General features: G+C 42.6%; 1 protein-coding gene and 1 long non-coding RNA gene across 10 annotated transcripts in view, besides 2 other annotated features; one reads left to right on the top strand and one right to left on the bottom strand.

The window, feature by feature from the left end:
* Nucleotides 1-839, bottom strand: part of MYO1B (myosin IB) — a 179983-nt gene extending 179144 nt beyond the window's left edge. For 8 of the 9 annotated variants that reach the window (XM_047444410.1, XM_047444412.1, XM_024452914.2 and 5 more), the window contains exon 1: nucleotides 617-839. The gene's annotated coding sequence lies outside the window, so the exon portion shown is untranslated. The remainder of the gene's footprint in view (nucleotides 1-616) is intronic. The other variant, NM_001161819.3, reaches the window with a different exon arrangement.
* MYO1B-AS1 (MYO1B antisense RNA 1) lies at nucleotides 68-17078 on the top strand. Its single transcript, NR_186085.1, has 4 exons — nucleotides 68-324; nucleotides 2170-2623; nucleotides 14266-14376; nucleotides 16989-17078. It is a non-coding gene; the product is annotated as an MYO1B antisense RNA 1 (long non-coding RNA).
* Nucleotides 331-953: an enhancer, noted in NCBI's record as "H3K27ac hESC enhancer chr2:192110016-192110638 (GRCh37/hg19 assembly coordinates)". NCBI's record gives its function as "activates a minimal SCP1, AML or CMV promoter by ChIP-STARR-seq in primed H9 embryonic stem cells {active_cell/tissue: H9 hESC(primed)}" and the evidence as "EXISTENCE:reporter gene assay evidence [ECO:0000049][PMID:30033119]".
* Nucleotides 529-918: a silencer, noted in NCBI's record as "silent region_12195". NCBI's record gives its function as "represses an Ori minimal core promoter by ATAC-STARR-seq in GM12878 lymphoblastoid cells {active_cell/tissue: GM12878}" and the evidence as "EXISTENCE:reporter gene assay evidence [ECO:0000049][PMID:35858748]".

The raw sequence follows: 17704 nt of genomic DNA, 5'->3' as shown, positions 1-17704 counted from the left end.
TCTCTGGGACCGTGAATCAATCCCATCCCGGGCAGGAAACGAGACCCAGGGCAACCCCCTCCGCTGCGGCGGAACAAAGGAGGCGAGCGCAGCTGCACGCGCAGGGAGGCCCACAGCGTCCCGGGCCCCTCCTCCCCCGCCGCCGCCGGGGCACACCGCACCTGAACCCCACTCCCCAGGACGCCCCATTGTTCTCCCTCCGCTTTCCTGCCCGGAGGAAGCCACACCGTGTCTTTCCAGGGGGCCAGGAAACAGCTGTGGGCCAGAGGAATGGAGGGGCTGTGGGTGAACACGAGGACAGCCGAGATTCGACTCTGCCCACAGGTACGAGAGGCATGGGGCAAAGTAAGAGCAACTTAGTTTACAAGCCCTTCTTCCCTCCCGCCACCCCCGAAGCCACTGCGGAGTCACGACCACCCTCCGCAACCTACAGCGTGCGCCGTTCCCGCCGCAGCGCCGCGTCTCCCAAGAGAGCGGCAGAGCCCGCTGACCCCCGCCCGCAGGGTGCGACGGGGCCAGGGACCGCGGGCACAAAGGCGCGGAGCAGGCGCCTCGGGGGCCGACGACGGACGCAGAGGGAAGGGCAGGGGAGAGAGAGAGAAAGCGCTCGCGCTACCTCGCCTGGCGCTACCTCGCCGGGCGCCACTCCGCCTCCACGTCGTCCTCGCTCTCCGGTGGCGCTCCGGGACGCGGGCCCAGCCCGGGGCTGCGGGGCTCCCGCCGCGGCTGTTCTGCCAAGGCTGTCCCGCGGCTGCCGGCCGACTGCGCGCCGCGCGCTCTGGTACTGCCTCCACGCGCCGCGGTTGAGGCTCCCGTGCGCACCCAGCTGCGGAGTGCTCAGCGGCGGCGGGAGGAGCCCGGCCACTCCCCTCTCGCCCGCTGGCGGAGGGGCCGGCCGAGGGGCGGGGGCGGCGACCTCGCTGCCTGGGATTCGCCCCTCGGCGCGCGGGCAGGAACGGGAGCCACCGCCTCCGAGCCGACTCACCTCTGTCCGCCCGGTGCCGGCTTCACAGCGCCCCCCGGTGAGCGTCGCGGCGGCCTCCGCGCCTTGCGGGTTTGCGGCCCGACCCTCCGCACCCGGGGCGAGCCTGGATGGGACGAGGCTTGAGGGAAGGAGGGGCGATCGTCGCGGCCCCCACGGAAGGCAGTCTTTCTACCTTTTTTGCTTCCAGACTCACTGACATAAAATGAGAAATACAACATTTGACAACTCGAAGCCAGCCTGGGGTCACATTCCGGCAAACAGTGGGAGTAAGTCTCAATTTTTCCTCCTCCCCAAGATGAAAATTTTTGGATGCCGAGAATATCAGAAAATATTAGTTTCACAGAAAAAGAAAAAAATTATACTGAGTGGTGTGGTGTGTCTTCATTTACAAGACTTTTAGTATCTTTTAAATTACTTAATCTCACATTGTGGGAAATAGACACTGGCCAATTCTTTGTGTTATAAATACATGAGAGGTAGTTTAAAAGAAATTTCAAATACCCATACGTATTTGAATAGAGTGTATTAACAGGTCCTGAGTAATGATCAGTGATGGGGTATATTATACAGGCATGTAGGGGCCAGAGAATCAGGACACCCCCCCTACACACACACACACACCTTCTCACTCAAGCCCTATTGCCTCATTGGAGAATTTAGAACAATCCTCTTGACCCAGGTCCTGGTTTCTTCATCCTCGCACAGGGAAGGGTGCGCATTCAAACTTACTCACTGGGTGAGATGAGGATTACTTGGCTGAGGTGTTAAAAGCACTGTAGACACAGTAATTATTACTCATGGTTCTAACTACTTTATCCTATAATGAAATAAATTGCCATAAATGGGCCAGGTTTAAATGGACTGACCTGTATCTGGAAACTGTCACTAAAGTGAGGTGAACCAAAGAATTCAGACCATATATAGTAACTGTTCCCACTGGCATAAGAACCACAGGCGCTGGGATTTGTTAAATGCCACTAGTAGAGTTTGGAAAGGTGGGACCTTCACAGACTATATCTGCTGGGAACTGTCTCATCATTGATGTCACCATCAGCATCACTTCAGATGTACAAGTGGTGTGATAATGGGCGAAACTAACACATACTGGGTACCAGGGACTGTTCTTTGTTTAATCCTCACAAAAAGCTCTGAGGTAAGTTTCTCTCATTATCCTTGTTTTACAGACCAGCAAAGCCAAGGACAGAGAGGTCTTCAGGGAATACATGGCTATGGTGGTTTGAAGACTCCCATTAGAGAGTGGATATTAATTGCCCTCCTTTTGAATATGGTCTGGACTTAGTGATTTGATTGTAACAAATAGAATACAGCAGATGTGATGCTATGTGACTTCCAAACCTAGGTCATAAAAGGAGATGAAGTTTTCACCTGGCTCTCCCTTGGGACACTCACCCTTGGAACCCAGCTGCCATATTGTGAGGAAGCTCAAGCCACAGGGAAGGCCATGTGTAGGTGTTTGGGCTGATGGTGCCAGCTGAGGACCTGGTCTACTGCCAGTACAACTTATATCAAGCATGTGAGTTGGCGAGCTTTTGAAAGAACTCCAGCCACAGTCACTGACCACGCTGCCTGAGAGACCTAGAGAGAAAACCTAGCTGAGCCAAATCAGGCCCCGGAAACGTAAGTGATAATAATAAAAGATTGTCATCTGGGTGGTTGTTACATAGCAATAGACACCTAGAACAGTGACAGAGCTGGAATTTGAACCCAGATAGTCTGACTCTATAGTCTTCACTATCAAGCACACTACCTCAGACCTTGATAACCTAGCATAATGAAAACCCTGGAGATCCCAGCCTTCACAATAGGCAACATATGAACCTGCTACCTGGTGACGTGTGTTAGACTCACTTCTCCATTTTGCTTGTCTGAGTTTAGGTTCCCAAGTGACTGCTTATAGCAGTTTGGCAGTTCATGGAACTTCTGACCTCTACTGTCCAGTTCAGCTTTTCAAAAATAGCAGAAATGCAGATGGCAGGTTCATGAATATAAGATGTATACAAATTGAAGAGTGGGGGAATTCTATAAACTTTTGATCTTGGAAGGTGGCCAGATTTTAGAAAAAGTAGGTTTGAGACAACTATGTGCTGAGTAGGTCTATCAAAATAGCTAGCTACTAGAAGTAAAGTTTTGAAACTCCTGACTCAAGAAAGGGATAGGACACAGTTATGTCAGAACAGTTCGGCCTCTAGAAGGACCTCGCATAGTGAGGACAATTAAGACTTTCTCCATGATTTTAGCAAGTTCAAAAAAGAAAATAATAGAAACTGTAGAACTTATCCTAATAAACACTAAGAAAATGAACCAAGTTATTAGCCAAAAATATTTCTAGAGAAAAATCATGCTTCTCTTTTAAAAATACTGTTTACCTAGTTTTCATAAATCTCAAAACCCAAGTTTCTGAGGACATACAGGTTTTAAAACACTTTTACCTTCCTGGCCATTTTTTTCAAAAACCAATCAATCAACAACTTTTGAAATTATAAAAAGCAGATTAAAGTTATTCCCACAATTGTCAAGAATAGATAATAGGCTGGGCGCAGTGGCTCACACCTGTAATCCCAGCACTTTGGGAGGCTGTGGCAGGCGGATCATGACGTCAGGAGTTCGAGACCAGCCTGGCCAATATGGTGAAATCCCATCTCTACTAAAAATACAAAAATTAGCCAGGCGTGGTGGCACGCTCCTGTAGTCCCAGCTACTCAGGAGGCTGAGGCAGAAGAATCACTTGAACCCAGGAGGTGGAGGTTGCAGTGAGCCAAGATCACGCCAGTGTACTCCAGCCTGGGTGACAGAGCGAGAGTCCATCTCAAAAAAAAAAAAAAAAAAGAATAGATAATAAATCCATCAACTACAAAGGCATTTTTTACTTTCTCCTCAATCTATTTGGAGGAAACAGAAAGAAATAAAAAGAAGTAGAAAACTATTATTGAGATTTAGGGTGAAAAACATAAATTATCAAATTACAAGAGTGCAATAAAAGAATACAAGAAGTGTGCTTTGCCTCAATGGAAACATGCAACAATTTAAATTCATTCAATTGAAATCTTGCCATCCTTGTGGAAAATACAGAAGTAAAAGCATATCTCTATGTATCCCAGGAAGGTAATTACCACTAGGCATGTAAGACTTATTTTTTCTTAGTTGGTTTTACTTGAGCCCTTTCAAGAAAATTAAAAGGAGTTCAACATTGACAAGAAGACTGACGAAAGAACCATATGACTGCCTTTTGGTGTAGCAAACATAAAAGTGGACTGGAAGTCATACTTTTAGATTTTCTCACTGGCTCTGTCTTCATTCAACTAAGTTTATGAAGCGGCTCATACTGTTTGTCCTTAGGTATTTTACATCATGTTGAATGTGTTAAAGACTCTATCTTTAAAATTCTCAGTCTTTGTTTTTGCTATATTTTGTCTCTCATCTACCCACCCAAACAGTTTTCACCTGCTTTACTTATCTTTTTTTAAAAAATAAAATAAAGACAGGATCTCGCTCTGTCACCCAGGCTGGAGTGCAGTGGCACAATCACAGCTCACTGTAACCTTGAACTCTTGAACTCAAACAATCCTCCCACAATCCTCCTGCCTCAGCTTCCCAAGCAGCCGGGACTACAGGTGCATGTTACCATACCCGACTAATTTCTTTGTATTTTTTGTAGAGATAGGAGTCCCACTATTGTTCCCCAGGCTGGCCTTGAGCCCCTGGCCTCAAGTGATACTCCTGTCTTGGCCTCCCAAAGCACTAGGATCACAGGTGTGGGTCACTATTCCCAGGCATTACTTATCCTTTCAAACTAAATTCGGTTTTCACCTATTCCTGACCATCATCTTGAATTAGATTCTGCTTTCTTTCGTATGGTAGCATCTGAATGCCACATCCTCTCAGTACCTATTAATTTGCCCCAGGTCATGAAATCTTTTTATTCATCCTCTTCTGGATGTTTGACTTCTCCAACTAGATAGTAGGCCTCGAGATAAAACTAGTCAATCAGTTCGAAAACACCAGGACTGAGATAACATCAGTTTTAGAGAGCTGACTATCCTAGGAAATATTCTAAATGCTCTACATATGTGTTAACTCGTTGAAGCTGCACAGCAGCCCAACGAGGTAGGTTATATTATAATCCCATTTTAGAGATGGTGAAGCTGAGGCAGGCAACTTACGCTGAGTGTGGCTGCCTCTCCTGCCTCCTTTCCACCTCCTCCACCTCTTCCACCTCTGCTACCCCTGAGACAGCAAGACCCACTCCTCCTTTTCCTCCTCCTCTTCAGCCTACTCAGCATGAAGAGGATGAGGATGAAGACTTTGATGATCCATTTCCACTTAATGAGTAGCAAATATATTTTCTCTTATGATTTTCTTAATAACATTTCCTTTTTCTCTAACTTACTTTTTTTGTAAGAATACAATATATGATACAATATAAAATATGTGTTAATAGACCATTTATGTTATCCATAAGGCTGATATGTCAACAGTAGGCTATTACTAGTTAAATTTTGGGGAGTCAAAAGTTATACGTGAATTTTTGACTACATGGAGGGTCAGCGTCCCTAATCTCCAAGTTGTTCAAGGGTCAAGTGTACTGTATTATTTCTTTAGCATATGTCTCTTAGTTTAGGATAGTCCTCCAAATGCAGTAAGCACTGAGTTAGCTATTTCTTAAATAGCTTCATACAAAATAAAATATTTTAAAATATATTTAAAGAGTGCTTTAAAAATAAGTGCTTCATGTTTAAAGTATTATTTGAAATTCAGATTAGGTATTACAAAAAAAAATGTTTCTATAGCATTGTCGGTGTCCAAAACTCAATGGTAAAAACACAACTCTTATTCTAAGTATTTAACAAACTATAGATAAATTACATCAAGAATATTTGAAGGTAAAAAGACCGATGGAACTTATCCCAGGCAGGGAGAAAATTTACTAAAGCTATTTGAGGATAAAAAGAGTAATTTGAAAAGCTCACAAATAGGGTCCCTTTTAGGTACTGTACTAGACTATTTGAAAATCAAAAACAATTCTTTATTTTAAAAAAATGTAATTTGAGCACTAAAATCAGGCAGTGAAAAAGTATAATTTTTCTCCACAAAATGCATTTCTCTACAGCTCAGAGTACTCTGAGCCACAAATAAATTATAGACCCATTGCCAGGAAATTTAAATTGCCTAAATTTTTTCCCTTGACATTTTATAATTTAGCATTCTGTCATTTCAACTAGTAAAATAGTTGTCTCTTATTTCTTCTCATGCTACAGCAGGTTAGTACTATGATGGCAAAACCTAGCTGTGAAACAATAAATCAATCTGAAAAATGGCTAGACTTTTTCCCAATCTTTTTAAAAAATCATTTTCATTTTTCTAATGATAACTGGGGAGCTGTCACCTCATTGCTGGGGAGACCCTAGGAGTACTGCAAGGAAAAGCAAATATTATGGCAAAGGAAAAAAAATATTGGCCACCTATACCAAATGAAAAGTAATTTAGCAAACATATGACGTAATAGTCTGTTTCTGCTTCAGTCCCTAAAACTAAATCCATATATTTGATCTGGTGCATACATTCATCACAGGTGTTAGCATATGAAAATGCTGTAGAGAAAGATAATTGTGTGTAACTCAAAAATATCCTATTGTATTAACAACCAAAATGGCATAACTCTAGGTTTAGGGACCATTGACAGAATAAACCAAAATTTAAATTAGAAATATAAGCAAAAGGTTAGTTGCCCATTATTTCAGCTGCATTCTCAATCTTGACATCTGTACGACATGAGAAACTCCATGAGGGTGGAGTTTGGTTCACTATTGTGTTCTCAGAGCCTAAGAACATAGAAAGTACTCAATAGTGTTAGATTGAGGAACTAATTTCATGAGTTATTATTATGTTAGGTAAATCAAGTTAGCCTATAATCTCTGCCAAGAATTTCAGATATCTCATTAAAGACTTTCCAGAGCGCAAGGTAGGACAAAAGCAGTTCTTGCTGATGGAGTTGCAGGAATGATGTTCTTAAACTTTGAATAAAGCTGGAAAAAGTTTATAGAGAGTAGCACCAAAGCACAGCCCATCTCATGCAGAGGAAGACTCATACCATGGAGGTCAGGGTGTTGACAAGCAACCCAACTCCCCAAGACAAGCATGGCCTTTGCTAAATAAAGATGCCTGCATAATCCTTCCCATTAGACACATGCTATACTCTGGGTATTTTTCCTGAAACCCATTCATGCCAATATGAGTAAGAGAAGAGAGCAGAAGCTTGTCTTACATTCTTATGGGCCCTCTTGCCAGGCCCCAACCTCATCTGTCCCCAGCCCCCCTCTCAGTGACTGGGAGTGCTACAAAGTTCCCATAGATCTTGAGTCTGGACCTGAGATAATCTTGACACAGCACATAGGCCCCAAACGTTTTCCCCTCAGGGCCATTGGGTCTATAAATTGCTTCAAAAAGTCATTCGTTCCTAGTCTCTTCAAAACTCTTATCTACTCCCTGAGGGGTTCCTTCAAAGACCTGCATGTTTCTTCAAGTCCACAGTTTCATTAAATTGAAAATCATGTTTTATAATTTTATAGTTTGCCTTATAAATCTTTATCAGTCAAAAGCAGCTATCACCCTGAAGGTTTACCCTGGGCAGGGGAAGAAGAATCTCTTTATTTTTGGTACATAAGTTCCTTGGTGCCTAAATACTTTTAGTCCCACTGGGTAACTTTGATGGGTGTTGTAATTGTTCTAGATTATCAGACATATAACAGTCTCAACCCTGAGGACTTCTTCCATTCTAGTGACTTGTGATCAGGCACCACTACCCCAGGGCCAAAGAGTGAAGTAGATGAAATTTGTCCTACATCAAGAAGTATTTACTGAGTATTCCTGAGGACTTCTTCCATTCTAGTGACTTGTAATCAGGCACCACTACCCCAGGGCCAAAGAGTGAAGTAGATAAAATTTGTCCTAAATCAAGAAGTATTTACTGAGTATCTATTTAGTCCTGTGCTAGCCCTGTCACTACAACAAGATGGTAAACATGACGGTCATGGTCTGTGACTTCCTAGAAGGTAGGGTCTAGCTTCAGGTCTTTGTCTTCTTGGATATACTCCCTGTTCCTTTGTAACGTCCCCCCAGTCCCAAGGCAACGAGGACCCTGATGCTGCTTCCAGGCTCCCCCAGGCCTCACCAGCCCTCTTGACCTCTCGTGTCGTTCCAAGTGTTTTTAAATCAGTAATGTGCAACCTGGGGCTCAAGGGCTACAGCACAATCCAGGATTTCAATTCTGAGTAAAAGATTAGAAAACGGCCTTTATGGTCCTCTTTTTCAAACATTTAAATATTGAATTTCAAATATTCAAAATTTAGTAACTAAAAGTCACTCATCAACACTTTTCTAGCCAATCAAATAAAAAAGAAACTACTTGAATTGCCTTTTAAACTGTGGCCCACTATGAACTTTCAGATTTCAAGCTATATTTACTTCTTTTCATACAAATAACTTTCAAGTTTTGTAATAATAAATGAGTATTATTTTTATAATCAGGAAAAAATAATAAAGCTATTTTCATCTTGGACAAAATATGTGGCCTGCAAATTTTTGTTTTTCTGAATTGGCCCAACTGAAAACATAAATAAATAAATATTGCTTGAGTGGTTTTTTCTAATACCCTTCCATCAGAACATTTCAGTACTTGGTGATTTTTCCCGTTAGGTCATGTTAGAGACTGGCAAATCTAATAACCAACTTATGCTGAATGAGGGTTTATACTAATCACCCACGGAGAACATTTGCTTTGAGTGCAGGTCCTTGGATTTCTTTATTGCACTCTTTTCCAGAAGAGATTCTTCTTTCCATATCATGAAGTCATGTGTCCAAGGTAGTAGGCAGGGTGGGAGGCATCGGTAGGAGTACTGGGGGAAGTCTCCCCATTGCAGGCTTGGTGGTTGGCAATGAGGGCCACTTCAAAGGAGAATTTCAAAGAAGAAACACAATCTGCCAAGGGCGATGCATCCAAGATCCTTGGGCCAGTTTGATGAGCTTGCCTTAATGCAAAAAAGAGAATAAAGTCAAGATTTTAGGTAGAGCTGATAGAGATGGGGGAGGGGGTGGTGCATGTATCTGCTAGAGCCTTCAAAAATGGCTGGCCCACTACATATATGTGAGGATTTATATATGGTGTTATGGACTGCATGTTTATGTCCTCTCAAAATTCATATGTTGAAACACTAACCCCCAGTGGGATGGTATTAGAAGGTAGGACTTTTGGGAGGTGATTAGGTAGAACCCCCATTATGGGAGTAGTTTCCTTATAAGAAGAGAAAAACCAACGTTCACTCTCTCAGCCACGTGAGGATATAGCAAGAAGGTGGCTGCCTACCAACCAGGAAGCAAGCCCTCACTGGACACCAGATCTGTCAATGACTTAATCTTGGACTTCTCAGTCTCCAAAACCATGAGAAATAAACATTGTTTAAGTCACCCCGCCTATGGTATTTTGATTATAGCAGCCCAAACCAATACATATGAAATCTTCAAACTCCAAACCAGCTGTTTCCTAAGCTAGTTGCTATTGCAAACAACATAGTTCTACCTGGTTTCTGTTCAATAGTTTATCCATAACTTCTTGCCTTTGAAATAAATTCTGGAACTTAAAGATTATACCCCCTCCTACCCCTATCACTGAGATGTCCAGGTGAACTCTATCTTCATTAGTAACCTCAGTGTGTGATGGGCATATCAAAGTCTTAAGTATTGGATGACGCTTTATAGTATACTATATGATAAATATATTTTTGGGAAAAAAAGATTGCTTTTATAATATAAATAAGTAAAGTTTTAAGAAATCAGTTTGGTAGGTGGAAGTATCCAGAAATTTGAGCTATGATCTTCTGGGAGAAGGGGGCTCTATCTGATCAGAATTTAGGGGTGACAAAGTGAAATTTGTATGTTTATTGAAAAAGAAGCCTGTATCTTAACAGCTCTCTACCCAGCAGTCAAGTTTTTTAAAGTTTAGTATATGGTTTCTGTCTACTTTCTCACTTCACTTTCACACCCCAGTCCTTTGCTCTTATGACTACATTAAAACTGATTTTGCCAAGGTCTGCAGTGATCATCTGTCAGTTGCCACATCGTTTCTTTTTTCTTTTTCTCTTTTTTTCTTGAGATGAGGTCTCACTCTGTCACCAAGGCTTTTTGTGTACAGTGCAGTGGTACAACCCCAGAATCAAGCTATCCTCCCGCCTCAGCTTCCCAAGTAGCTGGGACTACAGGCACACGCCACCATATCTGGCGGCTAATTTTATTTTTTGTAGGGAGGAAGTCTCCCTATGCCCAGCCTGGTCTTGAACTCCTGGGCTCAAGTGATCCTCCCACTTCAGCCTCCCAAACTGCTGGGATTACAGGTATGAGCCACCGCGCCCCACCAGTTGCCACATCTTAAAGGCAGTTTTGGGTCCTCGTAGCATTTGACTCCTCTGACACTTGGCATCCTACTGCCTTCTTTTTCTTTTTCTTTCTTATTTATTTATTTATTTATTATTTATTTTTGAGATGGGGTCTCTCTGTGTCACCCACGCTGGAGTGCAGTGGCATGATCTCGGCTCACTGCAACCTCCGCCTCCGGGGTTCATGCGATTCTCCTGCCTCAGCCTCCTGAGTAGCTGGGATTACAGGTGTGTACCATCATACCCAGCTAATTTTTTTTTTGTATTTTTAGTTGAGACAGAAAACATTACCTCCTCTGAAAAGGTCTTCTGATCCCCCAAACAAGAAAAGAGCACTTATTCAGTGCTCTGATAAAATTCTGTTGCCTACATCATGGAGTATATCACACCATGATCAAACTACCTATTCAATTATCAGTCTCTTTCACTACACTGAGACAAACTTGAGGGCAGAATCATGTCTATTTATTTTCCAATGCTGTGTGTAACCTAAGTCCTGGAATATAGTGGGCACTCAATAATGCTTGTTGCATGCATGCATGTATGCATGTGTGCACAAATGAATGAATACCAAGTGTTTCCAGTATCTTCTTTCATGGCTCCTTCATAGCTGTTATCACTCACTTTGAAAGATTGCCCCATCTTCTTATAGCAAACCCCAATAATTTTTGCATAATAGTTGTAAAAAGCAAAAATATAACAAATAGCTACACTGTTTAAAATAAAGCTGATTTTTTATTTCTAGACAGTGATTAATTGACATCTCCTGTACTTCTGCTATACACTCTCATACCTTGATGCTAAAGAATTCCCACTTCTGCAGAAACAGATGCACTAGGCTGACCCCACTCAACTTATCACTAATGTTTCATAATAACTTCTATCTCTACTTCAGAGCCAACACATATGTTTTTCTTAATTTTCCTGCAGAAATCAGTCTATAAGTATTCTAAATTTCTAAATGTTTAAGCTCAAAGAGAAGATTTATTGGGACACTTTAAATACTTATTTCTTGCTTACATGGGCTTGAATGATCACAATGACTCAGGATCAATTGTATTTCATCTTTTCAGTACTTATTTCACAGCTGAGCACTTCTCAGAGTTATGAACATGAGTCCAGTTTTTGACAAGCCACAGCAAAGGCCAAAAGAATGAGCAAAATTATCCACTCTGAAACCCACATGGGACAGCAGGAAGTAAATAGACAGCATCTGCCATGGCTTATTACAGCATACATGTTACACTAGGCCCCAAATCAATCCCAAAATGGAAGTCTTGGGTTATGGGTCTTTCACCACAGGAAAGCAACATACACATATATTCAACAATAACACTTCATAAATCTCTGCCCCAGTCACCGAACTTTATCTCATGTGGTGCCAATAAGAAAGAGGAATATCTTAAAACAGCAGGAGGAAATTACAGTTTCACATACAGAATCCTTCAATATCACTATAGAGACATCTTTTTACACAAGTAAAACATGGAACTATCTTCCTTAGGGTGAGTCCAAAGTGTCTGACACAAAAATAGTGTCTGATAGACTTCATGTTTTGAAGTTTAATTCATCACTTAAAAGGAGGTAAACTAGAAGAAATTAAGTTATTTATAAAACTGTAGTTACATAATAGGCACCACCCAGGGCATCCTGAATGAGGATAGAAGAATATTATATGGCCAAGGACCATACATGGTAGGGGTAGGGTTCTGAATCTGGGATTGACAAGCTTTATGCCAAAGTGTGTGTGGTTGCGTGTGTATGCACCACATAAACACACATAGATGTACACAGGCTCACTCACAATCATGGTACGTGTGCATTTTTCTCTGCGGAAAGCATTTTGACCATCCCTTAGATTCTCCCAAAAGGCCTTTGACTCACAAAATGCTACAAATCACTCCTCCATAGCAAATATTTCCCACATTTATAAGCCAGGGGATGCTGCTATCAGGTGAGATTCAAAATTATTGGACATGTGATGATGAAAAACACATTACTGGAGTACAGAAGCATTGGTGCGAAGCAGACAGGACGTGCCCACTCAGATGGGAGTGAAAGGGAAAGTGACTTGCAAATTAATAAAGTAATGCTGTCCAGCGTTCCGCTCTAGAAAACTGTTATCTGAGATGTTTTTGTAATCTTGAACCCCCTATTTTGGTCAGGGCCCAATTAAGAAAACAGAAACCACTGTAGGTGTCTCAAACGGGTTTAATGCAGGAACTTGTTTTTTGGTGTTTTTGGTTTGTTTGGTTTGGTTTGGTTTGGTTTTGAAACAGGGTCTCGCTCTGTTGCCCAGGCTGGAGTGCAATGGCACAATCACAGCCCACTGCAGCCTCAACCTCCTTGGCCCAAGCAATCCTCCCACCTCAGCCTCCCAAGTAGCTGGGACTACAGATGTACGCCACCACACCTGGATAATTTTTTAGTTTTTTGTAGAGACAGGGTCTCACTTTGTTGCGTAGGCTGGTCTCAAACTCTTGGGCTCGAGCAATCCTCCCGCCTCAGCCTCCCAGATTGCTGGGATTACAGGCATGAACCACCATGCCTGGCCAAGAACTTGTCATACCTGTGATGGAAGAAGCAGAACCCAGGAATTAAGAAGTGGGGTAACAGAAAGAATAACAACAGTCAGAAGCCACTAACTCCCCCAGGGCTGGAGAAACTCAGGGAGAAGATGGTGTTACCAAAGCCTGGAAGATAGGAGAAGTCAGAAGCACAGTGCGGGGCATTCCTGACAGATGCTGAGACAATGAAGGGAGGGGCTGTTCGCCAGCAGCTAAAATCATAGAGGAGAAGCAGCCACTGCCAGAGACACCATCAAAACAGGCAGAGAGGAGGTGAAATTCCCTGGCTTCCTCCCTCTTCCCACTCTCCAGTCTTCTGTTTATGCTTCCCTTTGGTTCAGCCTATGTGGAAGCCAGAGGGCAAGGGAACTGGAAAATGCAGTCCCCTGTGATAGACAGCAGAGCAGGGGAAAGGCCAGAGCAACCAGGGACATCACCAGCACATTCCCTTTTATGAAGATGATGTTGGGATGGGTTTGAAGAGGAAAGCCAAATCACTATGGGATTCTTCATTGATATGGAGTGGGAAATGGAGGTGAAACAAAGAAAGACAGGGAGGAAAAAGGGGGTTGGCAAAGATTGAAAATAAAGAAGAAAATGAGAAGAGGAGTAGTGGAGGAAAAGGTGCAAGGGAATCTCTCCAAGGTTGCTGGGACAGCTGCTCTGATTAGAGGCTCCATTCATACTCCAGGAACAGCAGTAGGCTAGAATAGGCCGATAAAAGAATTAGAGAGCTGCAAGCAACCTTAGGAACCAGTAGAGAACTAAAATCCGTAATTTGATGTTACTGAAGTTTGTTTAGATTGAATTCATTATTGATGGAAATTAATGTGAATTTAATTCTCTCCTGTCAAAATGGAATTTAAATATCTTTCAAGAAACTTATGAAGGGATTTCAGAAAGCCAAATCACTGCAGGCCCTTCTGTTCAGCACAAAGGGAAAAAGAACTGAGAACAAACAAAGCAGCAGAAAAAATGTGTGTGGGGGGATAGGGTGTGGGAGAAAAGAGCCCAAGGGATTTCTTTAGTAATGTTTGTTTATGGCTGTTTCAAATTAAGGAACTAATTTTGGATTGGGGAATAAATAAAGTTCTTTGAGAAAAAGAAGACTATTGCTAAGAACACAACGCCGCCTAGAGTTAAGGGGGAAAAAAACCTCTAATCACACTTAAGTTGGCTTGTTTATTTTTCTGATGTTAATGTGTTTGTGAAAAGAACCCAACTCTTGCTATATTTCTTAATGTTTCCTGTTTGGCTGCTCATCCAGATAAATAACCAGCACCTCTGCCTGCTTTCCTTACTCAAATCTTTGATGAGACCATCTTTTCAGAAGAGGCAGGTGCAGCACCTTTGGAACCTGCATTAACTCTCCCAGCAGGTCAGTAGTAATTCAAAGCCCATACTATACTTCCTGGGTTCCATGGACTCTACTTCATGGGCTGGTGCATGGGATTTTGCCAGATGATTAAAGATGTCTTGGCCCAGCAATATGCTTTGGTTAAGAGCTTAATAGAAGAAAGTCCTTATGAAAACAATCAACTTTTAAAAGGCCAGTTATCTGGTTTGAAATAGAACCTTCAAAGTGGGATTGCTAGAGCGCCCGCCCTGGCATACCTGAGCTGTGGCTGAGGAGTTTGTACAAATGACATAGGATTGTTGCTGGCTTTTACTGAGCTGTGCTCAGCAGCATAAGAAAGGAAGCAGAGGCCTGTCTGAAGCTATAAAGTGTTTCATGAAATAATTTTGCCAGTATGAAGACTTCATCCAGGAATAGTTTTTGTTTTTGTTGTTTGAGCCACCCAAAGAGAATATTGCTATGAGAAGTTTCCCGTTTAATATTCAGTCTCAACCAAGTTATTAATAGAAAGTAGTTCATGGCAACCATTTCTAATGTGCTGATAAATGCCTAATATTACAACAGCCAATGAAATATTGATCTTCTTATGTGGATTTTCTTAAAATAGTCGCTTTGGTCCTACCTTTTAGAATGCTGAAAATGTGCCATTTCTGAAATACATCTTCTTAGCCATTTTCGTTGTAGCTTGCAGGCCATATTTTTCAAATTCATGAATGCATGAATCCATGCTAATTCAAAGAGATGTTGGTACTGCAGAGAGCACAAGGTGCTATTCCCACTTTAAGGAGTTTATGATAATCCGCTAAATCACCAATCTGAGTTATCAGTTCAATCCTTTTTTCTTCTCTACCACTAAAGCTCCTTAAAGGTAATCATTATAATATTGACAAGTTATTAAATGCCTACAATAATAAGCCAGGCACAATACTGACTTCATTTAATGCTCACAAGAATCCGAAGTGATAGATAAATTAATCATACCCCTTTTAGAGAAATGGAAGTTGAGTTTCAGCTAGATTAATTTCCCAAGAGTTACATAATTTGTATGCAGTGGGACTCAAATTTGTATGCTGGGACTCAAACTCGTAATTTCAAAGCTCATGCCCTTAACCACTATAGCTAGAGCTGGCTTCTTGGGGTGGCACCTGGGCCATAGCACGGGGCCCAATGCCTCAAAAGACCCACACTTGGATTAATGCTCTGTTACCACTGTCTGGAAACTCTTAAAGAGGGGTCCTGCGTTTTTATTTTGCTCTGGGTCTCATAATTCTTGTACCCAGTCTTGACTACACCACATTTCCTGACATCCTAGATGAATACTATATGTGGAGGTTTTAAAATGTGTCCACAAATTCTTCAACAGTTTTTCCTCCAAAAGATAGAACCTAATTCCCACCCATCACTTAAGTGTGGGCTAGCCTAATGACTCACTTCTAAAATATGACAGAAGTGGTGGTGTGTGTGTGTGTCTTCATGATTAGTAATAAAACACATGGTGGCTTCTGGCTCTTTGGATCACTTGTTCTGGGAAAAACCAGACGCCATGTTGTGAAGATACTAAGGCAACCCTTGGAGACGTTCATGTGGTACGGAACTGAGGCCTCCTGCCAGCAGCCGTGTTAAGTGAGCCATCTCAGAAGCATTCAGACAAACGTTCAAATGACTGCACCCCCAGTCCAGGGCTCAAATGCAGGCTCATGAGAGACCCTGAGACAGAACCATCCAGACAATCATTAGATAACTACTGTATCACAGAACGCTGGAATTTTAAAAAATGACAGGAATATGCAGTTAAAAGGTGAATATGGCCAGGCACGGTGTAATCCCAGCACTTTGGGAGGCTGAGGTGGGCAGATCGCTTGAGCTCAGGAGCTCGAGACCAGCCTGGGGAACATGGTGAAACCCCATCTCTACAAAATATACAAACATTAGCCAGGCATGGTGGTGAGCATCTTTGGTCCTAGCTACTTGCAGGGCTGAGGTGGAAGGATAACTTGAACCAGGGAGGCAGAGGTTGCAGTGAGCTGAGATTGTGCCACTGCATTCCAGCCTGGGCAAACAAGTGAGACCCTGTCTCAAAAAAATTTTATAAAAAGGTGAATACATCTTATGTCCTCCAATATTTGGTGCAATGTTAAAATTAATTTTAAATCTCTTCAGAGTGTATAGACATTTTATTCTTTTATTTTGTTTTGTTTTGAGACAGAGTCTCACTCTGTCACCCAAGCCCGGAGTGCAATGGTGCCATCTCGGCTCACTGCAACCTCCGCCTCCCAGGTTCAAGCAGTTCTCCTGCCTCAGCCTCCCGAGTAGATGGGATTACAGACGCCTCTCACCATGCCCAGCTAATTTTTTTGTATTTTTAGTAGAGACGAGGTTTCACCATGTTGGCCAGGCTGGTCTCGAAATCCTGACCTCAGGTGATCCACCTGCCTCGGCCTCCTAAAGTGCTGGGATTAGAGGCATGAGCCACTGTGCCCAGCAGAGGTATTTTATTCTAGGGGCCATGTTAACAATGCACTTTAGTAAGTGTCAAAAGTCTTCTTTCTACATTGTGTGAAGGCCTTTCTTTAATTTGAGCCACAGCTTTTGATTGTAACAACTGACATTCTGTCCTGATTATTAATTCACAGACAAACAGACACATTTCTTTCACAAGAGCCACCTCCTTTCTAATTGAGAAGTCTGTTGCTCTTGGTGTTCTCCGGCCTGCCACGCCTACGTTGTGTGGCCTGGAGTTGTACCCTAGTGTGCTCCAACAGCATTTCTTCCGCCTGTCTGGCATGGAACTGGGCCACCTGGCATTGCTCTCCTACAGCTGCCTGGCTTTTCTGCTATCATCCGACTCTGCATGATCCTGCCCAGGGGAGTAACAAGGAATAAGCAAGCCATCCCCAAGTGCTGCCAGATTGGCTCCATCCCATACCCATGTTCTTCAGGATCTGGTCACACCGGTTAATAGGAGAGGTAACAATGGTTCACACATGCAACAATGGATCCACTTGCAAAATAGGTTCAACACAGGCTGTGCAATAATATCCAAACATCTGAATCCTAAGTGTGAATTCCAGTTCAACAGCACAGACATTTAAAATCTAATGCCTAAAGTCAGATTTTAGGCATCTGATTTTAATCATCTTGGGGTGGCAGAGGTTGCAGTGAGCTGAGATGGTGCCACTGCACTCCAGCCTGGGTGAAAGAGTGAGATCCTGTCTCAAAAAAAAAAAAAAAAAAGTATGTCCTATGTCCTCCAATATGTGGTGCAATGTTAAAATTAATTTTAAACCTCTTCAGAGTGTTTCAAGCAATCCCTTGCTCGGGGACTTCCCTCAACATACATATATAATAC

The sequence above is a fragment of the Homo sapiens genome, chromosome 2 (genome assembly GCF_000001405.40).
Source record: "Homo sapiens chromosome 2, GRCh38.p14 Primary Assembly".
Classification (NCBI taxonomy): domain Eukaryota; kingdom Metazoa; phylum Chordata; class Mammalia; order Primates; family Hominidae; genus Homo; species Homo sapiens.
Note: the sequence above shows the minus strand (reverse complement) of the source record. Positions and strands in the feature narration are given on the sequence as shown.